At 39.1% G+C, this 24103-nt stretch overlaps 1 protein-coding gene across 11 annotated transcripts in view; it reads right to left on the bottom strand.

Annotated features, from left to right (window-relative positions):
* Positions 1-24103, bottom strand: part of WDR48 (WD repeat domain 48) — a 44649-nt gene that overhangs the window by 17302 nt on the left and 3244 nt on the right. For 5 of the 11 annotated variants that reach the window (NR_144401.2, NR_144400.2, XM_005265346.5 and 2 more), the window contains exons 2-10: positions 16173-16313; positions 13474-13552; positions 12733-12815; positions 12488-12617; positions 10504-10592; positions 9619-9720; positions 4413-4637; positions 2150-2224; positions 1124-1226 (exon numbers count right to left, since the gene is read on the bottom strand). Coding sequence is in view for 8 of the 11 variants with exons in the window: in XM_005265346.5 (XP_005265403.1) it covers positions 1124-1226; positions 2150-2224; positions 4413-4637; positions 9619-9720; positions 10504-10592; positions 12488-12617; positions 12733-12815; positions 13474-13552; positions 16173-16313 (1027 nt within the window). In the remaining 3 variants the exon portion in view is untranslated. Of the gene's footprint in view, positions 1-1123; positions 1227-2149; positions 2225-4412; positions 4638-9618; positions 9721-10503; positions 10593-12292; positions 12407-12487; positions 12618-12732; positions 12816-13473; positions 13553-16172; positions 16314-24103 lie in introns of all 11 variants that reach the window. The other 6 variants (NR_144399.2, NM_001346227.2, NM_001346225.2 and 3 more) reach the window with 5 other exon arrangements.

Raw genomic sequence — 24103 nt, 5'->3', positions numbered from 1 at the left:
ATTTTGCATTAACTTTGGTTTCCCATCTTTTGCTTCCTGAATGAATATTCTAAAGGTTTAACAGCATGAACAAATGAATGTGCCATACAAAATTCTAATCCCAAACTCTGACATTAAACATATACTGCTTTTTTGCCATAATCAGCAGCAGCATGTAGAATTTGAGGATCATATCTGTCCTTTTCTGCCTCATATCTAAGTACAATATTAAATCCTATGTATTTTATGAAGTGGTTACTGGCTTTATCATGGCTATTCTGATGTTAGGCAAATAAACTGACTCAAGAAAGTCCACTTTAAAAGTCATTAACAGCATTTTTTTTTTTTTTTTTTGAGACGGAGTCTCGCTCTGTCGCCCAGGCTGGAGTGCAGTGGCGGGATCTCGGCTCACTGCAAGCTCCGCCTCCCGGGTTCACGCCATTCTCCTGCCTCAGCCTCCCAAGTAGCTGGGACTACAGGTGCCCGCCACTACGCCCAGCTAATTTTTTGTATTTTTAGTAGAGACGGGGTTTCACCGTTTTAGCCGGGATGGTCTCGATCTCCTGACCTCGTGATCCGCCCGCCTTGGCCTCCCAAAGTGCTGGGATTACAGGCGAGCCACCGCGCCCGGCCCATTAACAGCATTTTTTAAAATAACTTTTTCTGGCTGGGCGTGGTGGCTCACGCCCGTAATCCCAGTACTTTGGGAGGCTGAGGCGGGCAGATCATTTGAGGTCAGGAGTTTGAGACCAGCCTGGCCAACAAGATGAAACCCCATCTCTACTAAAAATATAAAAAGTAGCTGGGCATGGTAGCTCACACCTGTAATTCCAGCTGCTCAGGAGGATGAGGCAAGATAATGGCTTGAACCCGGGAGGCAGGGGTTGCAGTGAGCCAAGATCCCGTCACTGCAGTCCAGCCTGGGTGACAGAGCAACACTCCATCTCAAAAAAACAAAACAAAACAAAAAGCAAAACAAACAAACAAAAAAAAACCTTTTCCTTATATTAAAAATAAACCAATGTATTATCTTTTGTTTACATCAGGATTATATTTAAAGAAAGGTCATTGTCTTGATTTTTGTCAATCTCTAAGTAACTATCGCTAACTTCAATAAGGGGTACAGTACCTTCCATTTTCTTACCTTTAATAACCTGGTCAGGTTGTGTACAAAGAGGTGTTATAGGATTTGTACAGTCATTGTCATAATCTCCAGAGGCTCTAAAATTATGAATTCCTTTCAAAGTCTAAAATTACAAAATTTGTTATTTGATCATGTTATGCTCTACAAGCTTTGCCAGCCTGTTTAAAGTGGCAAGAAAAATAAAGTCAAAAAACAAACAAGAAAACCTCAACAACCACTACATCAACCGAAAAATATTTGGTCACAGTACAATTATCTATCATCGTTTAGAAAGAAACAAATTTTAAGAAGGGAATATTGTCTTTGGGAGAGAAAACTATGCATGAAAGCAGGAGTGCTCTTCCAGGTAAAATTGTATTGGTCATAAGTTGGCATGATGAAATTAACACAAGATATACAACATTTAAAAAATAAGTATACAGAAAGAACACTTGACCTGCATGTCAACAGGAATAAATGCAAACACCTTCTCTTTTGTTACCTACAGATAGTCTGGTAAGCAAGAAAACTTAAGTCTTTTTAAATTAAGATTTAAGAATTAACGGTGCACTTTGGATGACTTCTGTTTATCCTCTATCTCTATCCCTGTTCTTCATGCTATGAGGAAAAAGAAAACTAATTTGAAAGCACAATTTTCTGCTTTCTCTTATGTTTAACCAAATTTGAATCCTGGTGAGTTTCCCTGCCTTGTTGGTACTTGGGCTACCTATCTTCAAATGTAGCTTCATGAGGTCAGAAGATGTACTAAGACTTACTGGTTTTACCAGGCAACAGTGTCTATTCTAAGGACATGGAACATGTATCTTGGCTCCAGACAAAGAAGTCAGAATAGTCATTTTGACTATTATCTTAATTTTAGTATGATCTTTAGGATTCTACCTACATTCACAGGGCTTTCAGGTTTTTGCCCCTGCCCAAAAGCATGCTAGAGTTAGGGCCACACTGAGCATTTGCAACTGGCGTCTACAGGTCTGTGATAACAAAATACATGTTTATAAACCTTTGCCAGGTTAATAGCTCACTTACCCATTTATTTACTGTAGACTTAGTTGTTGCAACCCAAATTGCAGGAGGAGGATCAGCTGATCTATCAAGCTCCATCTGAAAACAAAGCACAAAAATATTGCTTTGTGGAATGTCAACTCTTCTGAACTGCCAGGACTAGATATGTTATTAATATCAACTCCTTCATTCAACAATTGTGGTGACTATACCTGGGCATGTGTGAAAAACTAAGGATGCACAGAAAAATGAGAGAGTCTTTTTCTTTGCTAAATAAATTCATAGCCCTATAAAAGTGTAATGGGGTAATTTCTCACCTAAAACAGTGGCCAATAATTTTAAGTGTGGTCAATTTGAGGTACTTGAATGGATACAGTCAAAAGGATAAAGACTTTCCATAATTTTCTCTTCTTGTTACTCCAGTTTTTATGTTTCTATAGTAACAAGGAAATAAATTTCTTTTTACTTTGAAAATGTCTGAAGTAAAAAACATCCTAACAACATAGTAAAAGTGAAAATAACCCTCGCCTAAGGACGGGACACCTGGGAATAGCTTACTGTATATTCTTCTGTATGTAAAATACTGCACATATAAGAATATGTTTATGTGCATGTATATATTACACAAGCGGAATCACTCTACATTCATCCACTATTCTTCCCACATCAGGAAACCGCAGGTTTGCAGTGATGGGAACAGGGCAGGACTCCTAGCTAGCAGCAATCCTCCTCAGTTCAAGATGATATTCCTTATAACATATAATTATGTTTGTGCCAAGTTCTTTCAGTCTTTCCCCCACAGCCAACATCCCGGCAAGAGATCCAGGCAGCTGCAGAACTCATAATGCAGAGTGTTTCTCCTCCAAGTTTGTCTCCCCATCACATCAGCCTGCTGCCTGCACACATGTTGTATATGTATGATTATTAATTCAGCTCTGACTCCTTGCTTCTCTAAAGGATTACTGGTTCGGTCCATTAGGATATGCCATCTATTTTAAAGAACCGTACTTGGCCAGTTTTGTCTGAATTCTTAGACTGCAGACATCCTCCCAACCGTCGCATTTGACCTCCATTCCTCTTTTCAGCCCTTCCTCCTACACAACAGTCTGAGGTTTCAGATGTCACTTAGTTTCGTAGAGAATGGGTATCTGCAGTTCTGTTTCTCATTTTCCTTTTAGGTGATTTCTGAGAAAAGGGAGTAGTAGTATTTTTCTGCCTCCATTTTAAAACTTGGAAACTTCCGGCCACGTGTGGTGGCTCACGCCTGTAATACCAGCACTTTGGGAGGCCGAGGTGGGCAGATCACCAGGTCAGGAGATCGATACCATCCTGGCTAACACGGTGAAACCCCATCTCTACTAAAAAAACAAAAAAAAATTAGCTGGGCATGGTGGTGGGTGCCTATAGTCCCAGCTACTCCAGAGGCTGAGGCAGGAGAATGGCATTAACCTGGGAGGTGGAACTTGCAGTGAGCCGAGATCGCATCACTGCACTCCAGCCTGGGCAACAGAGCAAGACTCCGTCTCAAAAAAAAAAAAAAATTTTGGAAACTTCTTCACTGTTGTTTTAATGTGAAATTCTGTGACTATCGGTGAGGTTGAACATGTCGACTGGCCATTTTTCAGTACAGCCTTCACTTTCAGCAGGTGTCCATATGGATGGCTTCCAAAGACTTCCTCAAGAACCCTTTGACCCACATGGCAGATCCTGATGGTTAGGGCTGCTCTGAGGCAGTGGTGGTTTGGAGTATGAAGCAGCCTGCTCCCTCTTCTTTCAGGAGAGTACTCTTCCACTTCCTTACTCCTGAAACCATGGACACATTTCCTGACCTTCCTCTGCTTTGTTGTCTGCTCACAGATAACCTTAACTCCTCATATTTCTTTTCCTAAGGACTGCTCAGGAAAGCCAGGCAAGCTCAGGAGCAAGTATGAGACAATTTCACTACAATTCATCAGTGGGAGAGCCATGCATCACTGATGTACCAAGAAGTCACACTTTCTTCTATAGGCGACTTACAAAACTGTTAAAAAAAAAAAAAAAAAAAAAAGCAAAACACAAAAGTGCCCCAGAACTGACCCAGAGTATCTCATACTGACACTCTTCCCTCCAGACAGATGCCTACTCTTCCTTACCCTGTCAAGTTCTGCTCATGATGGAATATCTTTTTTACAAACCTTCCCCCTCCGAACCCTGCAGTTGAGTCATGTTTTAATATAGCTTTTGCTCTATTTGGCTAACACATGTAACAACCTTAATTATAAAACTAAAATATTAACATATGACATACCTTGAGAACTGGTGCTTTTTCTTCACAAATTAGCACCCGAATGTCAGGGTTTCTTAGGTCTGTACAATAAATCTTCCTGTCCCTTCCACCAGAATACACATGTGTGAAGGCATCATTGACTTGCAGCGCCCAAACACCTTCATCATGGACTCGGTATGTTGCTATACATCTCTGCTGGCCAAGGGACCAAAGGCGAATTGTCCCATCAGAACTGCCTGACAGGCACTGCAAACAAAGAAAGGCAAAGTTAGAACTTGCCACAAAGTTCCTGCTTTCTTGTGCTTTGCACTTGACTTCTCCCGAGTCCACACTGTCAAACACACGACTCTATTAACCTGTGTTTCTGCCTCTGATAAAGGCTTGACAACCATGCACCACAGGCTAAAGTGACCAAATTTATGTAATTTTGGGAAAATTCCTTATTCTTCCCAAATATGTAATTAGGGTAGTTTTGTTGATCAATTCACTAATCTGCAAGTAAAAGTTTCTTTTCTCCTCATCTCTTTTTCCTAAATAAGTAGTTACGGTTGTTCTGTTGATCAATTCACTCATGTAAATATGCTAGGTTGTTGGTGGTAATTTTACATTTAGTCTATAGTTGCCAATAAGGAAAATGGATAGAAGAGAAACTAGATGAATGACACCTATTCATTATGCTTAGAGATACTCCAGCAGGAGAAATCTCTGAGCAGAACTGCCTTTGTCCTCTCTACCTGGCCACTTGTTGATTTCTGGTCAATCCTGTAGACAAGCCCTACTCGCATTATCTACTACTAAGGGAGATAGAGTTTGAAAGCAGTGGAAATGAAGGTAGCTGTATGCACTAGGCCCATGGGTCTCAAAGTGTGGTCCCAGCAGCATCAGCGTCCCCTGGGAACTTGTTAAAATATAAATTATTGGGTCTCATTCAGAGCTAACAAGGCAGAAACTCTGTTGGAACCCAGCAACTGGTGCTTTAACAGGCTCTCCAGGTGATTCTGATGTTCACTATCTTTGACAAACACTGCACTAGGCCAGCAAGCCTTTTGAAGTCCTGGGTTACACCTCTGTCTCATGGCTCTGGATTCCTGATGAGGCCAGGTCTCTTGGATTCTACTGACGGGAATCAGAAACAAAATCTAGTCTCAGGCTTACCATTCACTCTTTGCGTTGGACACTTTCCATATGAGCCTCAAGTGAGTTAACACTGGCAATTCTGACAATTTCTGATGGCTCAAGAGAGTCAACTACATAGAAGCTGCTGACACACAAATTAGGGCTGAGCACACTGTGAGTGTGCTCAGGTGGAAAAAGACTGAATTAGACACCCTGCATCCACACAGCATGTTACTGTGGTGACTTGCAGAAGAGTATAAAAACTTGATTTCCTTAGGAAAAAGAATGGCCCGGAGGAAAAAGCAATTGCTGGTGCTGGAGTATGAAGTTAAGTAAGCAGAGCTTCAAAGAAGGAAAGACAGTTGTGGGCTTGGAGATTTGGAAGGTGCCCAAATACATGAGGCCTTCAGGAATAAAAATTTACTGGCCTGCCCCATGACTTTAAGGGCCCTTGAGAACTCTAAGCATGTTTAATTAAATGAACACATACTAGGAAACTCTCCCACAAGATGCCAGGAGCATCAGTAGTTTAATAACCTATTCCAGCTAGTTTACAAGGGAACCAAGAAACTAACCAATAAAGCAAACGTCAGGAGCAAAGTTAAAGCAAATCTGCAACATATGTGAGTGAGAAATGTGGCAATCTGATGGTGTAGGGGCCAAGGAGGGGCTCCCCATTCCAGGAAGAGGTGTTATTCTGAGGTGGCAAAGCTTTTAGTAAAGCTTTGATCCCTCAGATCCTAGACTATGCATCTACAGAGTAAGATTTGACAACTTAAAGAGGACAAGGAAAGTAAGATATGATGGTTAGAAGTCCTCGTGGCCTGGGGCAACTTGTAACAGGAAAGGATAAGTCCCAAACTAAGGGTGCACAGTTGGAAGCAGATAAGGAAACACAGTTTTATCAACCCTGATATAGAACGCCAAGTAATCTCTGATGGTAATCAGTATTCTAAGACTACGGAAAAGCAGATCCCCCAACAAAGCAACCACTTTAAAAGTATTATGTTGGCCAACTTCTTCGCAGCATTTGGTAGTATAATTAAAGAATGTCCTGTTTTATAGGAATTATAGTGCCTGAGATCTTGTAGGAGCTGGAGGAGTCATCAAAACATTTCCACTGCCTCCATCCTTCCACTAGAAAAACATAGATAAACATGAAGATGTTCATTATGAGGTAACTCCTGGGACTAGGACAGAATGTCCTTCAATGATTCTGCTAAATCAGATTTAGTGGAATAGTCTGTAGCCCTAATCAGGTGCTCTTTGTTTCTGCCAATGAAGATAGGAAGTACCAGTGTACTGAGGCCAAGTTGCTGCTGACCAACAGGAGTGTTCCCGGGATGGTCACTAACACACAATCTCAAGTGCCAACAGAGATCAGCCAAGTGGACGACATAAGCTGGGGCAATAAGTGGCCTGATGCTCTGAGACCCTCAGACCCATAAGCTAGGATCAGCAGACTTGTATTACCAAAAGAACCCTTTGAGTGACATACAAGGACATGACTGACTCAAATCAAGATGGCAGGTTGTCCCAGCTCCTCAAGCAATGAATTGCCTAAGTAAAAGGAATAAAAAGATAGGTGGCTCTGCCCAATAATGTTAGCACCAATCAAAGCAACTGCAATGCTGATCTCTTTACAGGCAGAACTCCCTTAGGGAGAACCTCAAATAAATTTGGTAAATAAGAATCTTATTCTACAACAAAAGAATCAGGCAACAGGTAGATATTCATGGGATTCATTGGCCTATAAGATATGTATCTTACTGCCAATTCCTGATTTACAAAGCCACCAGGTACCCTATATTACAAGCTCACAGGGCAATTTAGCAGGATGCAATATAAACTTTGGCCCAGTAACTGATAACCACCTCTTCCATATTACAAGAATTCAAGAATCTGTAAGTAGAAGTTTCTTTTTTCCTCACCTCATTTTTCCAAATAAGTAATTATAGTTTTTTGTTGGTCAATTCATTAATCAGTAAGAGTTTCTTTTTTTCTCATCTCTTTTTCCCAAATAAGCAGTTATTATAGTTTTTTGTTGATCAATTCACTAACGTAAATATGCTTGGTTGTTGGTGGTAATTTTACATTTAGTCCATAGTTGCCAATAAGGAAAATGGGTGGAAGAGAAACTAGATGAAGAGTGATACCTATCAAGTTTGCACTCTGAGACTAACAGGCAGTTTTTAAAGTAGAACCACAATATTTCCTCTGCTTACAATGACTGTAGCTGACTTCAGATGAAGTGCATTTCTAACTGTACACGTGATACTTAAATCATCTTTTATAGAAGCACATTCATAATTGCATAGATAGGAAACAAGAGATGGAGCAGACAGGTAGAGCTTTAGAAGGTCTGCCAGGCCCATAGCCCCCTTCTGGAAACCATGGAGATGATATGATCCCGCCCAATCCTGGCAAAGCTAACTGAAGAGACACGGGCAACCATCTCAAGTGCAGCCTTGCAGCTACACTGCAAAACAGTGAGGAGCTGACTGCACTGGGTAATTCTTACAGTCATGTGAAAATGAGGCCACAAAGGAACTTGAGAGCTCTAGGAAATGCCCTGGCTTACAGTTAAGAAAATACTTATTATTAACACATATATATACATATACACACACTCTCACCAACTATATAAACTATATATTATGATTCTCACTTTGCAGATAAGCAAATTAAGGACTAAAGTGAAATCCTATCCTGTATGTTTATTGCGGCACTATTCACAATAGCAAATACTTGGAACCAGCCCAAATATCCAACAATGATAGACTGGATTAAGAAAATGTGGCACATATACACCATGGAATACGATGCAGCCATAAAAAATGATGAGTTCATGTCCTTTGTAGGGACATGGATGAAATTGGAAATCATCATTCTCAGTAAACTATCGCAAGAACAAAAAACCAAACACCGCATATTCTCACTCATAGGTGGGAACTGAACAATAAGAACACATGGACACAGGAAGGGGAACATCACACTCTGGGGACTGTTGTGGGGGTGGGGGGATAGCATTGGGAGATATACCTAATGCTAGATGACAAGTTAGTGGGTGCAGCGCACCAGCATGGCACATGTACACATATGTAACTAACCTGCACATTGTGCACATGTACCCTAAAACTTAAAGTATTAAAAAAAAAAAAAAAAAAAGATCCTTCACATCTCCAAATACCTCCACAGGTATCTTTAAATCTTTCTTCTCCTGGTTCTGAAAAATGATTTCCTTCCTTAGACTAGTTTCCAAACCTTCTGTTCATTTCTGGAGGCGACGGCTTCTCTGATTGATGTCTAAAGCAATTTCTTAGACGTGAAATTTTAGCAATTTCATGTCTAAAGTCTTAACTTCCACAGGAAAAGAAACTGATGGTGTTTCTCACCTCATCATCTTTCTACCTGCCCTTTTCTAACCCTATCACAATCAATTCCAGTTATCTCTGACTTATCACTGCATTCTGGAAAAAAAATGGCTGAGTCAAGGGTACATGGTAGACATATGTCATACCCATAAAATGATGCTCAGTTTTTGTTTTTTATTATCTACATTGATGAAAAAGTATTTTCCATTGCTACAGAACAGAATTGTGATTTATAATTCACAAATTACGTGGCCAACAGAGCTAATGTATAACATTACCAAAATGTTTTTCTTTGAAATGTTCACTCTGAGCATTATGTTAGAAAACTAAATTTATCAACTATATCTACATAGTCAACTGACAAAATGTGCCCCTAAGTCAGACCCACTGTGAGCAAATTTTCCACTTAATACACTGGCAAAAAGCATTTGATATCAAAGCTTCCTTTTGCTTTACACAGGTAATGTTTTTAGTTATTTTAGCCCCTATGCACCATAAATGCATATACTCATCTGCATCAGAATTATTCTAAGGAAATTCTTTGTTTTGTTAAAAGTGATGCAAATAGAATAGTTTTTAAATGTAGCTTATATGTGCAATTTAGTATTTTAAAATTTTTTAATTAGACAATTTATAATAAGTGTGGCTTTCGGTTCAAATCAACCTATGCAATAGTATACAAAGTGCGGAAATTTCTAACAAGGTTATTAGGTAAACACCCAAATGAAACTGCATACTTGCGTGCCATCTCTGTTTAATAGCAATGCCTTCACATTATCCGTGTGCCCTTTAAGCTTCATTAGTTTTGCACATGTTCTTGGATCCCATACCCGTAACACCTGTGAATTTTAATAGAGTATTACACAAACTAAATATATCAGTATCAAATTTAAATAACAGACAACTCTCATAAGTCAAATGATAACCATTATATTCTGAGAAGGCAATACCACTTCTGCCAATGGACACTGTCTAAGCCTCCCAACCTCAGGGAATTAGGCCTTTCAAACATCAAAAATGCACAGCCTCTTTATCTTGTCACTATACACACAACAGTTATAGTTATACTCTTACTTATTCAAATAAAACCTTTTGTTTAGCACCCACTAGGCAAAACCACTGTCCATATATTTAATAATTACACAGATTAAATTATTTTGGTTTCTTTATTTTCTAATGTTCAAACCACCCTTTAAGCTCCCCCGATTGGGGCACAGTGGCTCTCATGCCTGTAATCTCAGCACTCTGGGAGGCCAAGGCAGGTGAATTGCTTGCACTAAGGAGTTGGAGGGACAACATGGCGAAACCCTGTCTCTATTAAAAATATACAAAAATTAGCCAGATGGGACAAGGAGTGGCCTGATGCACGTGATGGTGTGTGCCTGGGGTCCCAGCTACTCAGGAGATTGAGGTGGAAGGATCGCTACAGCCTCAGCAGTCAAGGCTGCAGTGAGCCAGGATCATGATGCCACTGCACCCCAACCTGGGTGACAGAGTGAGACCCAGTCTCTAAATAAATAAATATAAAGAAGCTAATCGTAAAATACCTGCTTAAAAAATAGGAGACAAGGTATGTGAAAAATAATTTTTTTTTTTAAATAAAGAAATAAGCTCCTCCTTACCTTTTCAGTGGACCCTGATACAATGATTGTTCCCAGTTGATTCATGGCCAGGCTATAAATGGAATCTTTGTTTCCACTTAAAGAAGAAGCTATTGAGGATAAACGGAGCTAAATGTTAACAAGATCATCAGCTGTTTAGTAACTAGTCAGCAAAAACTGCAAGTTTATTCAATTTAGAAAATCTTATCTTTATAAGTCCTCTACGGAAAAGAAATCTACCTATAATGGAGATAAATCTAAACAGTATTATTATCAAAATTTACATATTTTCTGGATTTGAATATATACAAATGCTCAATATCTGATAAACTGCAGTGCCATTGAAAAGCTATCCGCTTAAATGATATGTTTAAAGCTATTCATGTGCCATAAATATGAAAAAATGTTCAATTTCAGTATTTTTCAAACACAAATCAAACCAAAAACACTGTTTCATACACCAAGACAAAAAACAAGGTAATACTTGATTGTAAAAAGAAAACAGTACAATGGAACTCTCATATATTACTTATGTGAAGATAAATAGGTACAACCTTTCAGGAAGGAATTCAGACTATAGCAAAAATCATGTTCATACTCTCAGTATCACTGAAGTAAAAAAGATGTATATGAAACTGTCTATATAGTATGAACCCAATTTTACAAACATATTAAAAAGTTGAGTAAATGAGTTACTACATGTACTGTTTAGAAAAATGTCTACTTGTAGCAAGTACTCAATACAGGTTAGCCATTATTAGTATTATTTTTATTATTATGTATTAAAAAAAAGTGTGATATCCTCTCTAAACAACTCTAAGCAAGATGTAGCAGAATCTGTATCCACTAAGCCTGGGCCCTGACCTTGTGACAACCTGCTTTTTTTTTTTTGCTTTGTTCCCTCCCATTAGTGTCTCTTTGAGGCAGGCCTTACATCCAGACTTAAAACCTAATGATGTACCATGACAGCCCCAACAGGGACCAGCTAATGAATCAGAGATAATGTACAGGTGAAAAATCAAGAACAAGGGAAAAAGAATGTTGAGACCTTCACATATTTCCTGGAAAACAAGGCAAAACAACAATCAAGAGATTATAAACACAAGTCTCCCAACTTACCCTTCTTGGCACATACTAGGCTATATTAGTAAAACTGTATTGTCTATGTCAATGTGAACACTCCACAGAGTCGTTATAAAATGGACCTATAATGTAGGGATCCAGAGAATGCAGGCCCATGTCTTCAATGTAGACTTTCCAGGTCAGGCCTAGCCAAAAATGTGCTCCTAACAGTCCCTTCTGAAACCTGGCCTAGAGGACTCTACTAGGTTGGGCCAAGCATGAAGCTCAATTTCAAATCTAGACTTGTATGAGCCTGACTTGGTAGTCTGAGATCTCTTAGCTGATGAATCATCCATGCTGTGAACATCTCTGGATTGCCTCTAGAAGCACTCTACCGTTCTGGCTCTTCTGGAATTGGCTTGATTCCTCAGGGCTGCTCTAAAAGGCAGAAAATTTGATAAACTGGCACTGGAAACCTTTTCTTTCTTTCTCCTGGGTATTTTTCATCTTGGCTATTAACTCAAAAGCTCTTAACACTTTAAAAAGTCAGAAAACCGCCTACTTTGTCAGAAAATCGCCACCTCCTTCAATAATACCTGCTGAGTGTATGGATTTGGACCAGGGAATGCTGTGGGAGATACGAAGTAGTAAGACAGTCTCCTCTACCCTGCAGGGACTTACATTTTAGCTAGGGAGCTAAGACATGCACACGTACAAAAAATAACCAGGTTATACCTGGAGAAGTTACCATTTTTAGACTGCAGTGAGGAACTAGCTCTTTGTTGTTCAATCATACTCTTGGGGGCCAGAACGCTGTAGGTAGAAGCACTCTCAAAATATGAAACACTCTCTCGATGCAAACCTATCAAAAATGTTTTATAAACCATTCTTTATTTATGTTAACTTGGATCACTTTCAAAGAAGTTTCTTTTAAACACCTTACTTGTGACAGTGTTATTTGAGGCAGTCAATGCTGTTAGAGTATTCACATCCCAAAGGAATATTTGTCTGTCCAACCCAGCTGATGCTACTAGTTCTTTATCCTTGGCATATGCTAAGGCCTTTACGTAATCCTGTAATAGAACAGACATACTATGATCTATTCTGTAGATCAGTAATAAAATGAGCCACACAAAGTACTGAGATCCCAATATTACACTAAAGACACTGAGAACTGTATTGTTTTACCTTATGTGTCCTTAATGTTGACATGCAAAATCCCTTGTGTGCATTCCATACTTTTACTGTCGTGTCAGAAGAAGCAGATATTACTAGAAGAAGCAAAGAATTAACAAACTCCTTAGTAGTATGACTTAAAACTTTGAAAACTTATCTTACAACAATGTAACATTATTTCAAACTAACATATTCTCTCTCTTACACACACAAACATACCTAAAAGCTCTTTCTAGAACCTATTGTATATTGCCTCAATTTTTTAAAATCTCAAGACACATGTTCAAAGAAAAAAATATATTTTTAAAACAAGCAGTGCAAACATTTTTAATGTTCCAGTTGAAGGCTCAACTAATGTGATTGAGAAAAATTCCTGTAACTCGGACTGCAAAACCAAGGAATGGATCTCACCAAAATTAGAACAAAAAGAGGTATTAATAAGGCTAAAAGAAGAATACATATAGTACGAGTCTATATACAGTTCAAATGAAGGCAAAACTACCCTTTGGTGTTCAGAAGACAGAAGAGCAGTTACCTTGGGGCAAGAGGGAATAACTGAAAGGGTGGCAAAGGGTGGCACAAGAGGGCTTCTAGTAATATTGTTTCTTGATTTGGGTATTCACTTTCTAAAATTGTGTTGAACTGCAATCTCGAAGTGTGTGTACTTTTCTGTATGTATGTTTCAATAAAAAAGCTTATATAAAAAACAAAAAATATATCAGAAGCCCAATAATAATCCAAAGAAATACTTACATGTTTTCCCATTACAACAGAGTACAATGTCGTTTACCCAATCAGTATGGTGTTCCATAGATGCTATATATGGATCTTGCTGAAATTAAAAGAAAAATCCTAAGAGTTTATATGAGAGAATGAAATATATTACAAATGATAGATATGGTTAAATTCTTCAATTAATGTGACATACTGCTCTAGGCATTAAAACTAACACCTGAATTCTGAGTAGAATCTCACCAAATAGGTGATGCTTCCAGATAACAGATGTAAACAGTTTTGTTTCAGGACAGTTTTACTCTTACTGAAAGCTTAGGTTTCCAGGACAAATACTTCATTTTTTTTTTTTTTGCCTTGTTAAAGTGAAGGCAACAAGCTCTGGACTAGGCACTGTGTGTGACATAAAACCCTTTAAAAAGGGTTCACTAGAAAGGACATGACTTGTAGGAATCTGTAGGCTGTGGGGATTTGAATGAGTGGTGGTGAAGGCTCAACAGCAGACAGCAGGGGCAGCAATGAGTCTGATGAGTGCACTAAGGAGCCTGGTCTGAATGCAGAGGGAGATAAACACTTCTGCTTTCAGCTTCCTACTGTTGGGTTCACCCTCTGAATTAAATGTTTTCCTCATGGTACCTACAGGCCTTCAGAGATGAAAGGAAACCCAACGGCTGAGAAAGGACAACCTGTGTCACCATTTCAATTAGGTGATTCGAGATTCTACTTCTCTTACCTGGCTTAATAACCAGGAGAGGCCTTTTAAAGAACAGTATTTAGTTACATCCTACACCTAAAACAGGCAAGTTTGAGACACTTTATGGGCAAACAGAACAGCTCTGTACAAGTCTGTTTGACAAATAATGCTATTCAATCTTGTCATAAAAGGAAGACCAGAAAAAAGATGTTTGGGGCAAGACAGGCAGATTTCCAGATTCTTCAGGTTAGTTCTTTTGGGTGTTTTTCTTAATTTGTTTGAAATACTGTGAATGCTCAGAAAGGAGACATTCCAATTCAATTATAAGTACCAAAAAGCATTTCAAAGCCAAACATAGTTTTCTTACTTTTCATGCTTTTGACATTTGGCCACCACTGCATGGTCCATTGGCTAAAGAATTCAAAGCCTGCCAGACTGAAGTTATAGGCGCATAAAGTAGTGGTTCTTTTTCTGAACTGAATATCAGACTTGTAAAACTTGCTAAAAAGACACAAACTTTTAAAAATACAAGGTCTAGCACTAGGGTTTTCAAGTTGGGCTGGGTACTAATTCTCTGTCACTTCCTAGCCACATAACCATGGGTTTCTCTGAGCCCATTTTCTCATCTATGAAAATGGATCTGGCCAGGCGCGGTGGCTCACGCCTGTAATACCAGCACTTTGGGAGGCCAAGGCAGTTGGATTATCTGAGTCTAGAAGTTTGAGACCAGCCTGACCCACATGGTGAAACCCCGTCTCTACTAAAATTATAAAAATTAGCTGGATGTGGTGGCGTGTGCCTGTAGTCCCAGCTGCTGAGGAGGCTGAGGCAGGAAAATTGATTGAAGCCAGGAGTCAAGAGGTTGCAGTGAGCCAAGATCGCGCCACTGCACTCCAGCCTGGGTGACAGAGCGAGACTCCATCTCAAAAAAAAAAAAAGAAAAAAAAGAAAATGGATCCTAATAGGTACCTTGAGGGACACTGAAAATTAAAATCACATTGGATATGAAAATGCAAAGAGCGTATGGCACATAATTAGAAGATCAATAAATGCTCTTTTTTTCTTCCCTGATTCTTCTTTTCTCTGTCATTCACAATATAGGTGTTCCAACAAAATACTAAAAGGGCTCGTTACCATTTGCCTGGGGATTTATCTTTACACATATTTAAACCCTGTTCCCTGCTTAAGAAAGGGAAATCTTTGAAGGGGAGCATGTTGTCTTCATAGTTTTAACACCAATTTTATATTATCTTTATTTATTTATTTGAGACAAGGTCTCCCTCTGTTGCCCAAGCTGGAATGCAGTGGTGTGATCACGGCTCACTCAGCCTCAACCTCCCATACTCAATCAAGTGATCCTCCCACCTCAGCTCCCCGAGTAGCTGGGACTACAGGTGTGTGCCACCATGCCCAGCTAATTTTTAAGTTTTTTTTTTTGCAGAGACAGGGTATTGTCACATTGCCCAGGCTGGTCTCGAACTCCTGGACTCAAGGAATCCTTTCACTTTGGCCTCCGAAATTGTTGGGATTGCAGGTGTGGGCCACCATGCTCAGCCTAACCTTGTATTACCTAGTTAGGCCGTGTGGGGTTTGTGAGGATCCTAATTACTTTTAAGTGAGGAAAATAAAATATTTTTTCAAGATTAATTAGAAATGTAAAAGAATATTCAATCTTTTTTTAGTAAGGTTACCAAGAGGTTGTTGGGGAACATATTTAAAGCAAAAAAATTAATTGTTGAAAGTAATCCCCCTACTAGCCAAATCACTTTGTTCCTTTGTGGCAAAGAACTCTGTAAGGCAAACCTAGTTTAGGGAGTCCTTGTCTTAGCTGAAACACTTCTGAAACTTTCCTAGGGATGGTTTTTCTCAGAGGCTTACAGAATTCTGGTTGCGATGTCTTTATAGAGTGTACCAAATAACTCAGCATTCAGAGAGATTAAATCTGAAACTGTGAAAAGTGTCATATTAGACAGTAAAAGCCATTTGTCCAGAATTTGCTGGGTACAGATTTTAATCCCTGCATTACCTTGTGCTGATTGACACTCCATATTCTTATGATAGAGTCTCGACCGGCTGTGAAAAGTCTATTTAGTGCTGGATCCAGCTGCAGAGCATTGACTCCATTTCGGTTGTACTTCTCCACTTCATCTCGAATAACATAGGAAACCTGACAAATGTGTCAACATATGCTTTTTATAAAGTACAAGCCATGCAGTAATAAAATATAGTCTACTAGTGGCCAATCTGAAACAGAAAATCCCATGTTTTCCAATATGTACTTTTTCAACCCAATACAAATTTAAATTTTACTCCTTAAAGACTAAAGGGCTGAAGAGAAGGATGGTATCAATGATAGCCTAGTCCAACATGAGTAAGTTGCTAAACTACTATAACTGCTTCCTGACTGGACTCCTTTCCCAGTCTTTAGTCCATTTTTCACAAAGCAGCTAGAGTAATTATTTAAAAATCTATCTCAGCTCTGCTCAAAAACCTCCAGTTGCTGACTACTAGACTCATGATTGGATGTAAATTCCTTAACATGGTCTCAAGTACCCTGTTTGTCTTTCTGGCCACTCATCTCTGCTCCAGGTTCTGGTGCATTGTGCCTCCAGACCATCACACATGCTGGTCCTCTCTGTTTGGAAGCTCTTCCTCCGACCTGTCTGGCTAACTCTTGTTGCAGCCTTCAGGTTTCCATTTAAACAATACTTCCTTTAGAAGGCCTTCCCTGACTTGCCAAGCAAAATGAGGTTTTGAGCTCCTATCACATACTAAACTTTTTCTTCAGGGCATTTTCCCCTACTTTGTTACTGTTGGTGACCTCTGTCTGTTCCTTGTGAAAACAGGGGATCAACTGAAAACAATTACACCTAAGAAAAAGTCAATAAGCTGGCTGGCAGCCAGAAGTAAAACTTTCTAATGTAATGAAATAAACAGTTAAAAATTAACTCAAGATGGACTAAAGACTTAAATGTTAAGACTTAAAACCATAAAAACCCTAGAAGAAAACCTAGGCAATACAATTCAGGACACAGGCATGGGCAAAGACTTCATGACTAAAACACCAAAAGCAATGGCAACAAAAGCCAAAATTGACAAATGAGATCTAATTAAACTAAAGAGCTTATGCACAGCAAAAGAAACTATCATCAGAGTGAACAGGCAACCTACAGAATGGGAGAAAATTTTTGCAATCTACCCATCTGACAAAGGGCTAATATACAGAATCTACAAAGAACTTAAACAAATGTACAACAACAACAACAACAAAAACAACCCCATCAAAAAGTGGGCAAAGGATATGAACAGACACTTCTCAAAAGAAGACATTTCTGCAGCAGACACAAGAAAAAATGCTCATCATCACTGGCCATCAGAGAAATGCAAATCAAAACCACAATGAGATACCATCTCATGCCAGTTAGAGTGGCAGTCATTAAAAAGTCAGGAAACAACAGATGCTGGAGAGGATGTGGAGAAATAGGAATGCTTTTACACTGTTGGTGGGAGTGTAAAGTAGTTCAACCACTGTGGAAGACAGTGTGGCGATTCCTCAAGAATCTACAACTAGAAATACCATTTGACCCGGCCATCCCATTACTGAGTATATACCCAAAGGATTATAAATCATTCTACTATAAAGAAACATGCCCACGTATGTTTATTGCAGCACTATTCACAATAGCAAAGACTTGGAACCAACCCAAATGTCCATCAATGATAGACTGAATTAAGAAAATGTGGCACATATACACCATGGAATACTATGCAGCCATAAAAAAGGATGAGTTCATGTCCTTTGCAGGGACATGGATGAAGCCAGAAACCATCATTCTCAGCAAACTATCACAAGGACAGAAAACCAAACACCACATGTTCTCACTCGTAAGTGGGAGCTGAACAATGAGAACACATGGACACAGGGCAGGGAACATCACACACTGGGGCATGTTGGGGGGTAGGGGGCTGGGGGAGGGATAGCATTAGGAGAAATACCTAATGTAAATAACAAGTTGATGGGTGCAACAAACCAACATGGCACATGTATACTTATGTAACAAACCTGCACGTTGTGCACATGTACCCTAGAACTTGAAGTATAATAATTAAAAAAAATTATCTCAAGTACCTATAGTGATTCTATTAGGAACAATTATACCCTTTCTCCACATCTTAAACCAAAAACGAATTTTTCTATGAATTAAAGACTGAAATTTAATAACCATAAAAATAATTTTTGTTTTTATTTTTTGAGAGAATCTTGCTCTGTCACCCAGGCTGGAAAGCAGTGGCCCGATCTTGGCTTACTACATCCTCTACCTCCCAGGTTCAAGCAATTCTCGTGCCTCAGCCTCCTGAGTAGCTGGGATTACAGGCATATGCCACTGTGCCCAGCTGATTTTTGCATTTTTAGTAGAGATGGTGGTTTCACCATGTTGGCCAGGCTGGGTTTCAAGTGGTCCACCCGCCTCAGCCTCCCAAAGTGCTGGGATTACAGGCGTGAGCCACTGCACCTGGCCAGCATAAAAATAATTTTTAAAAGACAGGTGAATATTTACATAGTCCCTTGCCAGAGAAAACTCTTCCAACATGCCAAGAAAGATGGTAATCTTTACGAAGGAAAAGAGCAATGGTGATCTGGCCAAATACAAGTCAAAACCTTTTCTATGTACAAGAATGTTCACAGCATTGTGGCATTCACAATAATGTTACAAAAGTGGAAACAACCCAAATATCCATCAATGGACAAAACAAATAAAATGTGATGTGTGTGTGTGCATATATATATATATATATGCACACACACACACTGTACTGACACATGCTATAACGTGGATGAACCTTGAAAATGTGCTAAGTGAAAGAAGCCACATATTTTACAAAAGGCCACATATTTTATGACTCTATTTATATATAATGTCTAGGATAGACAAATCCACACAGAAAGTAGATTAGTAATTGCCAGGAGATTGAAGGAGGGAAAAATGAAAAACGGGGAGTAATTGCTAATGAACATAGAGTAATTAAACATTCTGGAGTTAGGTGACCAATAAACAACTTTCCGAATATACAAAAAAATCACTGAATTGTACACTTTGAAAGGGTGCACTTTATGGTATGTGAATTTTATCACAATGTTATTATTTTCTTAAACCTTCTGAATGTCAAAAAGTAACACGAGCAAGACTAAGAGAATAATGAAATAAATATGAAAGAAAGTTTACTCTTAACAAGATTCCTTATAAAATAAGAAAAAGTCAAATTTACCAACAGAAAGAGGGACAGTTACAAAAAGGGACTTTTTAAAAAAGAAATGGCCAAAAACCCCATAAATAATCAAAGACAAAATTAATATGAGATTATTTTACCTATAATACAAGAATTTTTTAAAATAACTGCCATTTTTGTTTCCCCTGAGGATAAATAAACACTTTCTGACAAAAGTTTTAAACTCTTTGAAATGTTCTTTAAAATTCAATTTCCAGAAATTTGTCCTTTAAAAAGGGCCAGGGCTGCAGACACAAATAGCTACAAGGATGTTGTTTTAACCCAGTCTTTTGGATGCAATTAACTGTAACTGAGATCTACTCAAACCAGCTTTTGTTTGTTTGTTTGTTTTTTAAAGGAGACTTCAACACAAGGATATCTTAACAGAGCCCAAGGTCAGGAAATACAGTCATCATTTATAAGAGGCATTTAAAAAATCAAATCATGACACTTCTCTGCTGAAACTTTCCAATGGCTTTTCACAAAATTTAAAGTTCAAACTCCTCAAATGCTTAGTTCTGACCCTGCATCCCCCACTCATTTCAAACTGACTGCCCCCAGCTTCTTTTATGACAGTCATTCCAAACTCCTTTCTGTTACCGTAAACACATCAAGCTCTTTCCCATCCCAGTACCTTCTCATTTACTGTTGCCAGTGTCATGAAGATTCACCACCCCTCGAATCCCTATAGGAATACTCTTTCTCCAGCTTTCATCTTGTCTAACTCACCCTTACTCTTCAGATCTTAGGAGAAAGGTCTCCTTGGAAAGGCCTTTCTGATCTCATTCTCCTCAGGGTTATGACCCTATCTATCTTACATTACTTATTTAACAGTTCTTACCACATTCTGTATTTTTTTTTTTTTTTTTTTTTTGAGACGGAGTCTCACTGTATCGCCCAGGCTGGAGTGCAGTGGTGCGATCTTGGCTCACTGCAACCTCTGCTGCCCAGGTTCAAGCAATTCTCCCAACTCAGGCTCCCGAGTAGCTTAGATTACAGGTGCCTGCTATGGCGCCCAGCTAATTTTTGTATTTTTAGTAGAGACAGGGTTTCGCCATCTTGGCCAGGCTGGTCTTAAACTCCTGACCTTCTGATCCACCCACCTTGGCCTCCCAAAATGCTGGGATTACAGGTGTGAGCCACCGCGCCCAGCCACATTTATATTTTTTGGTGTATCTTCTCCATTAGAATAATAGCTCCAAGAAGGCAAGGGACTTGTCTGCCTTGTTCCTTCCACCCCTGTGCCCCCATTATAGTGTCTGGCATATAAAAGACATACGTATCATTGCATGAATTGGCTTTCCAAAGCCACCAGGAACCAAGCTAGCTTCAATGTCAACTTCAGCCTCTCTCAATCTCTCTTTCTCTGGGGTTCCAGGGCTGCTTACCTAGCTCACATTTCCTTTAACTGAGACTGTGCAGCATATCTAAATCTTGATATCCAGACTTCTGGGAGATTATCTGACTGGTTAAGGCAAGAGTGAAAGAATAACCTGAATGTCAGAATTCTCATTCTAGGTGGAAAGTAATTACTGTTAAAACCAGTCTGGGCCAACCTCTTCAACGGTATTTCCTAAAGACGTGTGCTTTAAAATGCAAAAGAATTAGAAGTATCCTAGTTGGATAAATTCTAGCACGCACATCTGTAAAACACAACACTATTCAATCACTTAAAATGTTGATGTAGGCCAGGTGTGGTGGCTCATGCCTGTAATCTCTGTGCTTTAGGAGGCTGAGGTGGGAAGACTGCTTGAGCCCAGGAGCTTGAGGCTGCAGTGAGCTATGATGGCACCACTGTACTACAACCTGGGCAACAGCATGAGAGCCCTGTTTCTAAAGAATAAGAAAGAGTTGATGGAGGTCTAGACTGATAAACATGGGCGGAAAGCCATGATATATTTTTAGTGAAATATGTGTGGTCCAACACAACAATGTACAATAGTCATTATTATAAAAATGTTTCAAAATATTAAATATTTCAGAACAAATACACAAGTTTTGAAGACTATACATATATAAAAATAACCAGGGGCCAGGCGCAGTGGCTCATGCCTGTAATCCCAGCTTTGGGAGGCCAAGGCGGGCAGATCACGAGGTCAGGAGATCAAGACCATCCTGGCCAACATGGTGAAACCCCGTCTCTACTAAAAATACAAAAATTAGACGGGTGTGGTGGTGCGCACCTGTAGTCCCAGCTAGTCAGGAGGCTGAGGCAGGAGAATCACTTGAACCCAGGAAGCAGAGGTTGCAGTGAGCCATGACGGTGCCACTGCACTCCAGCCTTAAGACAGAGTGAGACAATGTCTCAAAAAAATAAAAATAAAAATAAAATAAAATAACCAGCAGTTATTTCTGAATGATGGGATTATGGTGATTTTTCACTCATTCATGTCTCTTTCATGTGTTCTGAATGTTTTACAAACAACATGTATTACTTAGTTTTTAAAATTTGATCATTTGTTATCCAAGTAATTCCTGCTTGTATTTAGAAAATCAAATAGTAATGACTGTAATGAAAAACAGTCTCTCTACTGTCTGGATAAGACTCCCACACCTAGTCTTCATCCCTAAAGGTAACTAATTGCAACTCAGTTGTTGCTACTGGATAGTTAACTGCATTTCTCTAAATATTGTGCTTATCCTATAACTTTTTGGCTCATCCATTTTAGACATTATCGATTTACTCATGCTACTGTAGATTAGGATGTAGTTCTGAAACTACCCTCAATATCTCCTCCCTCTACTCTTCTAATATAGATACATCCCTATTTTTAATTGAACAAATAATCCGTGCTATATTGTTGTGACTGTAAGGCTATCTACTAAGTACTATATTATGAATACATTTCCTTCCTCAAAGAGCTTTTTGTTTTCCCTAGAGTTTTAATTTTTCCTTCTTCAATGGTTTTCTCCACTTTAATTTCAATTTTAATTGCTGTACCACAGAACTCACCCCCACCCCTTTATTTTCTCAGAAGGCTTCCCCCTCCAAACCCTCCTTCTTCTCATTACAATCTAGGCTGACTGCCCTCTAGATCTGCTGGCACAGCTGTCACCTTTGGTGTTTTCCTTTACTGCTTTTCTGGGTTACAGCCATTGTTTCCTGAATTCTAATGCCTCCTTCTTTCTTTGTTCACTCCATAGTTTTGCTGAAATACATCCCCAATACCTTAAGAAAGTAATATAAGAAAAGGCACATGGGTTGGCAACTTAGTCCTTGCATGCCTGAAAAGGTCTTTCCTCCACATTTACACTTGATTTAGCAATTCTCTCAGCTCTTGAAAGCATTGCTGTAAGTTCCTCTAGCATCCAATGTTGCCACTGATTTCAATGCCATTCTGTTTCATACAGCTTTAAAGGGATCCTATTTTCATTCTTTCCTCCACTCCCTCGTCATCTCCTTCCCTAAGCTTTCAGGATTTTCTCTTTTTCCTTGGTGTTGTGACATTTCTTGTTTGTTTTTTCTATCATTAGTTTTTCTGTGCATTTAGAAAGCCCCTTCGATCTAGAAATTTGCGGCACTTAAGCTCCGGGAAATTTTCTTGTATCCATTATTAATCATCATCTCTGTTTTCTTTGCTCTTTCTTGAACTCAAATGAGTCAGATACTGGAACTTTCAAACTGATCCCTCATCTTTTATGCATTCTGTATTATCTATCTTTGTCCTTTCATTTATTTTTGTAACACTTCCTTTACTATTTTATAACTGGAGGTTTTTTCAAAGCAAATTATAGTATGATGGAAAAAAAATCAAAGCAATATCTTCAATAAGGAAATGGCTAGACAAATTATGGTACATCCATTCTATGTGGTCATTAAAGAACGAAAACTATATATGCTGATATGTTTCAAGACATGTCACCTTAAAAACTTGTTATCTGCATCCATTAAAGTACAGAGAAAAAATTTAAAATGTCTGGCTATAGAAAAATAGAGGAAAATGGATTTAATTCTTTCAACGAATATTAACTAGGCACCCACTTGTTGCCTGGCACTATTCTAAATGCTGAGGATACGGTAGTGAGCACAAAAGTCCTCTTGGCATTTAGCTGGGGAAAGAGCTTAACTAGAAGTGGCAGCAAGTTAAGCGAAGTATTTTTTTTCCCCAAGCACTGTGAAGCACTGAAGGAAGAGGCCATAACAGGAGGAAAAATGGAGGCACAGAGAGCCAATCAACAGACTCAGGTTGCTGGAAAATCATACCACCAAGGGACTGCTAAGGATGGAAAAGACTTGCTTTGATATCCTGGTTACCAGAGAAAATGCTACATCATGTATCTGAATTCACATATTTGATTATGTTTCTGACAGTCACAAATCCATCCCTCTTCCCTCGTATCTCTAGTTTTCCTAGAAGTTGAAGATGGTAGGACATGGACTCATTTAAAATTATGTCTACAATTAATATGCAGTATGTTTGGACCCCTCTCCACTGATTTTAAGTATCATTTTATTTTATTTTTGAGATGGAGTCTCGCTCTGTCACCCAGGCTGGAGTGCACTGGTACAATCTCGGCCCACTGCAACCTCCGCCTCCTGGGTTCAAGCGATTCCCCTGTCTCAGCCTCCCAAGTACCTGGGATTACAGGCATGCGCCACCATGCCGGCAATTTTTATATTTTTAGTAGAGACGGGATTTCGCCATGTTGGCCAGGCTGGTCTCGAACTCCTGACCTCAAGTGATCTGC

Source organism: Homo sapiens, chromosome 3, assembly GCF_000001405.40.
Source record: "Homo sapiens chromosome 3, GRCh38.p14 Primary Assembly".
Classification (NCBI taxonomy): Eukaryota; Metazoa; Chordata; class Mammalia; order Primates; family Hominidae; genus Homo; species Homo sapiens.
The sequence above is the reverse complement of the archived record's forward strand: the minus strand, read 5'-3'. Positions and strand labels throughout refer to the sequence as shown.